This window comes from Homo sapiens, chromosome 15 (genome assembly GCF_000001405.40).
Source record: "Homo sapiens chromosome 15, GRCh38.p14 Primary Assembly".
NCBI classification, from domain to species: Eukaryota; Metazoa; Chordata; class Mammalia; order Primates; family Hominidae; genus Homo; species Homo sapiens.
In genome coordinates, this window is record NC_000015.10 from 71,070,873 (window position 1) to 71,076,625 (window position 5,753).

The 5,753-nt window shown below is 36.2% G+C and overlaps 1 annotated feature.

Moving 5' to 3' along the window:
• Positions 1,251-2,450: an enhancer, noted in NCBI's record as "P300/CBP strongly-dependent group 1 enhancer chr15:71364462-71365661 (GRCh37/hg19 assembly coordinates)". NCBI's record gives its function as "activates an origin of replication core promoter dependent on BRD2, BRD4, P300/CBP, MED14 and CDK7 cofactors, with strong dependence on P300/CBP, by STARR-seq in HCT116 cells {active_cell/tissue: HCT116}" and the evidence as "EXISTENCE:reporter gene assay evidence [ECO:0000049][PMID:35650434]".

Sequence of the window (5,753 nt, forward strand, 5' to 3'; positions counted from 1 at the left end):
ACTGAAAGTGGGAAAGAAGCCATGGTCTGAGGAATTAACATAAAAACTCTGAGAAGGCCAGAGGAGACCAAAGACAGTTGTGAGCTGGTTTAGAAGCTCATAGCAGTCTGGGATTGGGACACAGTGGGGCAGTAGGTGCAACGTGGTGGGTAAATTTTGCTTTTAACTGTCCCCTACATTGCTTTGGCAGGATCACTTTTCTGGCCTCATCACTTCTGCAGAACAGAAATTAGCAAGAGCAGCCCAGATGCCAGGGGTGTGTGTGTGTGTGTGTGTGTGTGTGTGTGTGTGTGTGTGTGTGTGTGTTGGAAGGTGGGACAGAAAGGTTGGGGAGGTGGGGAGAATATCATTGCAACCTCAAGATCCTGCCAGGTTGAGAATCTGGTGAGAATACATGTTATGATGACTAGTTGCCCTAAGGCATTTATTTCTTCATTCCCTTTCTCTCCAGGCCCTCAACAAATTGGATTGCAACCTAATATTTAAGGAAGAGTCCCTGAAGGAGGAGACGCCTGGTGCAGACACTGGGAATGAAGTTGGTCTGCAGGTTCTGTGGTGTGTGGTGCTTGAACTCGTGGAGACTTTCCCCACCTTTCTGCATAAATAGTTCTAAAGATCTACATTGTACAGACTATGTTCTCTTACCACAGTGCAATTTTGTTAGAAATAAATTACAAAAGAATAATTGCTGGGAGAGAATGCTGCATGGATTTCTCATGTTTCTGTATGTCTTTTGAGCAGAGGCATTGTTAGCTTTTGTTCTGGCCTGTATTTTCAAGGATGTTTATATAGCAAACAGCCTTGGAAAATAAAAATAGTATCTCCCTTCATGGCAGAGGGCAGGTTTATTTGCTGTCCAGTAAAATGAAGATAATATCTCCCACTGGGGCAGAAGTTGGGTGGGTTGGCTCACAGCCTCCTTATTGGAGTTTCCTAAACTCAGGGTTCCTCAGCTGTGACTTAACCCCACCTCCAGCATCCTCCTGGACCCAGGTATGTATCACTCTTGTGGGGCTTGTGAAGCAAGGGGAACTAATGAGAAATGAAGTAATTAAGTTCTTTGTCTCTGATCCAGGAGTCTCATGTCTTCTGCCAGCATTTTTGAAACTGTGACTGGCTGGTTTGTTAACTTGCAAGTAAGATCAAATTTAATACTCTTCACAGTTCTTCGTAATAGGTTTTTAAAAATTCCATAAATCTGGATATTAAATAGCATAAAACTAAATAATCATTAGATTAAAAAGAAACTCACAAAAATATTAAACAGAATAAACTGAAAGCATTTAAGCCAAAATTTATGAACATAGCTAAAGTAATAGAGGGAAATTTATAAATCTAAATAAATTTATCACGAATAAATAACGATTGAAAACTAATGAGCCAAATGTTTAATTCAAGAAGAAGAAGAAAAATTAGAACAAACTAAAGATACTAGAAATAGGGAAATATTAAGGGCAGGAACCAAAGTAAAGAACATGAAAAACAGTAATACTGAAGTGGCGTCATTTGGGGAAATACCCGAGGTTCGTTGTCTTGGGCTAAGGAAATCGAAGATGTGGACACACAAGGTGTGAGTTTAAAAGCAAAAGTTTAATAGGTGAAAGAAAGGAGAGAGAGCTTCCTTTTGCAGAGGAAGGGGCCCGAGCGGGTTTCTGGGAGATGTGGTTGGTTTTATAGACGAACTTGAGGAGGCAGTGTCTGATTTACATAGGGCGTAGTGGATTGGTTGGACCAGGTGTGCCATTTACATGGCCTGTGAAGAGCTGGCAGGCCCACCCTAATTTTTTATTATGCAAATGAGGTCTTTACCTGGCCAGCGCCATGTTACCTGAACACGTGGTTACAAAGAAAAGGGAAGAGGAAACCTCCATGTTGAATACACTTGGTGTCCAGGTATTCCTTTTCTATTGGCACAACTGCTGGCATTTACCTATACAAGTTTCCAGCTTGCTTATCTATGCTTGCAGCTTGATTTTTCTGGCTGCTTTTTGTTAGAAAAGAAATTAGTTTTGAAAAGGAAAACCTTACCGAGAACGAAACAACAAAATTTAAAATTGCTTCTTTAAAAAGATAAACAAGATGGTCTTCTGGAAAGACTCTTCAAGATAAAGGAAAGATGATATAAATAAACAAAACAGAATTATAAATGGGGAAATAATAGCAGATGCATAAGAATTTTTTTAAAATAAAAGAATATTGTGAATAACTATATTTTAATATATTTTAAATCTTAGATTGATTTTGTTCTACAAGTATTTAAATTACTCAACAACAGGTAAAGCTTGGGCACTGACTAATCAAGATGGACACCTGACCCACCAGAAAGGATGCCATACTAGTATGTACAAGCTCTGTATTTCTGGGATCAAAATTAAATTCCCAATTGGCCCAAGAAGAAATACAAACATCAACTAGAACAGCAAGCATTCAAAAAGTGAAATGGTAATCAAAGCTCTCCTGTTCCCAAAACCTGTAACCCAGAAAGTTTTCCATGTGGAAGTTTTCCAGGTGAAAGCTTTACAAACTCAATGGGATTAAAATCAATTAGTTTTAGAGAAAGGTGTAAAAAAAAATCTTACATATTAAAATAGTCTCTGCCCTTTAAAGGGTCATGGTACACAGATATAGTATGTCTGTGGTATTAAATTTTATGGTGGAAGATTAGAAAAAAATATGTCTAAAAAGGCCCTGGGGGAGGGAGAGAGTATAATGAAAAAAGAATGGTTAAGAAACATTTCCTAATCTTATTCAAGAAAATGGAAAAAGAGAAAAAACTTCCCAGCTCATTTTAGCATTTTAAGAATTTTCTAATCTAAAACTGGATAAGAACACACACACACATACACGTATCATATACTTATATACACATATGTATGTATTTATATTCAAAAGTAAAATGTGCTCCTCTACATATATAAGTCATGGTCAGTTATAAAAATGAATTGAAAAATCCCCCTTATTAACTCAAGGAGTTCAATAAAGTATTAAAACTATATCATGGAACCAGATTTACTCTCTTGCCTTAATGAGAAAAACTGGAAAAACATGTGGAACAACTGTTTTAAAATATTGGACAATAGGGATATTAGGACTGTAATGCAAGAAAGAAAGGAAGCAAATGAGGTAAGTCCAATATTCTCTGTGCCTTTCTACCCCGAGGTACACTCTGTAAAGCAGAGTGAGTAGGATGATCCCAAGCAAAACACAGTGGTCTCTCTGCATTGAGGAGCAGAGATTTGAGTTCAAAGAGTCTGAGGTAGCTAGAAGCTGTAAAGCAGAATTTCAGAGAAGAGAGAATTACGTAAAAAACAGCTCCAGACTTTTTTTAATACTAAGATATATAGGCATAGAGTGAAACTCTTCAAGAAATACATGCACACACACAAACACACACATTTTAGTGTATACATGTGTATATACATAATATTATTTAAATGTAGATTGTGATAATTAGAGCTTTTTGCAATTAACCCTAAGACAACTATTAAATATGAAACAGAGTTATAACTAGTAGTCCCCCAAAGGAGGAAAAAAAGATTTTAAAATATTTAATTAATTCAAAAGAAGTCAATAAAATGGAAAAAGCTTTACATATAATAGATTGAATAAGTAGAAATCAAACAGTAAAGTATAAACATAGAACCAATTGCATTAAAGGTAAATGGTATAAACGCCAAATTAAAAGGCAGAGATGGTCAGACTGGATAATAAAACAACATCTAACTATATCCTGCATACAAACAATCCGCTTTAAATGTAAAGACATAATAGATCAATAGCAAAAGAATGAAAAAATACATCAAGATAATTCTGATCAAAACAAAGTTGGAGTATCTATACTAATACCAGACAAAGTAGATTTCAGGACAAATAATATTAGCAGAGATAAAGAGGGCCATTTCAAAATGATGAAGGGGTCATTTATGTCTCAAAGGACATAACAATTCTTAATTTTTTGCACCAAGTAACAGAAGATCAAAATATATGAAGTAAAAACTGATTGAACTTGAAAGAAGAAATAGGCAAATTTACAATTAGAGTCAGAGATTTCAGAATCTTCTTTCAGCAATTGATAGCACAAGTAGAATATCAGTAAGGACATAGAAGACTTGAAAGACACAATAAATATCATAAACCAAACAATCTTTCTGTTTATATTCATAGAGTATTCCACTCAACAACCACATAATACACATTCTTTTCAGGTGCGTAAGAAATATGTATTAAGGTAGACAATATTCTATGATACAAAACAAGCCTTAATAAATTGAAAACAATTCAACTCAAAGTATGTTTTCTGACTATAATGAAATTAAATTAAAAAACCACACACACACACACACACACACACAATAAGATAGCTGAGCATAGTGGTGCATGCCTGTAATCCTAGCACTTTGGGAGGCCAAGGCAGGTGGATCACTTAAGCCCAGGAGTTTGAAACCAGCCTGGACAACGTGACAAAACTCCGTGTCTACAAAGAATACAAAAATTAGCTGGGCATGGTGGTGCACACCTGTGGTCTCAGCTACTCGAGAGGCTGAGGTGGAAGGATCTCTTGAGCTCAGGAGGTCGAGGTTGCAGTGAGCTGAAATTGCGCCACTGCACTCCAGCCCGGGCAAGAGAGTGAGACCATGTCTCAAACAAAGCAACAACAACAACAACAAAACAGTAAGATAAAGATACCTGGAAAATCCCCAAATATTTGGAAAGTAACACACATAAAATTAGAATGCATTTTGAAATTAAACATATTATACCAAATAACAGTCTCAAATTAATAACCTCTGCTTCCACCTTAAGTAGAAAAAGAAGAGCAAGTTAAATCTCAAAACCAGAGAGAAAACCAATGAAACCAAACACTAGTTTTTTAAAAAATTAATAAAATTGATAAATCTCTAGTCAGATTGATTAAAACAAAAGGAGATAAAACATAATTTACCAATATCAAGAAATAGGAGGTGACATGATTAGTTTCTACAGGCACTAAAAGGATAAGGGAATACTATAAATAATTATACACATATGAATTTAACAACCTAGACAAAATATACCAATTGCTTGAAAGATACTACTAAAGTTCATTCAAGAAGAAATATATAATCCAAGTAGCCCTATAGCCATTAGAGGAACTGAATTTTTACTTAGAACCCTTCCCACAAAGAGGCTGAGTATGGTGGCTCATGCCTGTAATCCCAGCACTTTGGGAGGCCAATGTGAGAGGATTGCTTGAGTCCAGGAGTTTCAGACAAACCTAAGCAAAATAGCAAGACCCTGTCTCTACAAAAATAAAAATAAAAATTAGCCAGGCATGGTGGTGTGTGCCTATAATCCCAGCTACTGGGAGGGCTGAGGTGAGAGGATCACTTGAGCCCAAGAGGTCAAGCCTTTGGTGAGCTATGATTGCACCACTACACTCCAGCCTGGGTGACAGAGCAAGACTCTATCTTAAAATTAAAAAAACAAAAAATCCTTCCCAGAAAGAAAACTCCAGGCTCAGATGGCATCACTAGTAAATTCTATCAAATATTTCAGAAAGAAATAATATTAATTCTACACAAACTCTTCCAGAAAATTGAAGAGGAGAAAATACTTCCTAACTCATGCTTTAAGTTCAATGCTAGTCTAATACCAATACCAAACATGTTATAAGAAAGAAAATTTCAGTCCAAAATCTCTCATGAACATTGCTACAGTTTGAATGTGTCCCCCAAAAGTTCATGTGTTAGAAACTTAATCCCCAGTGCAACGGT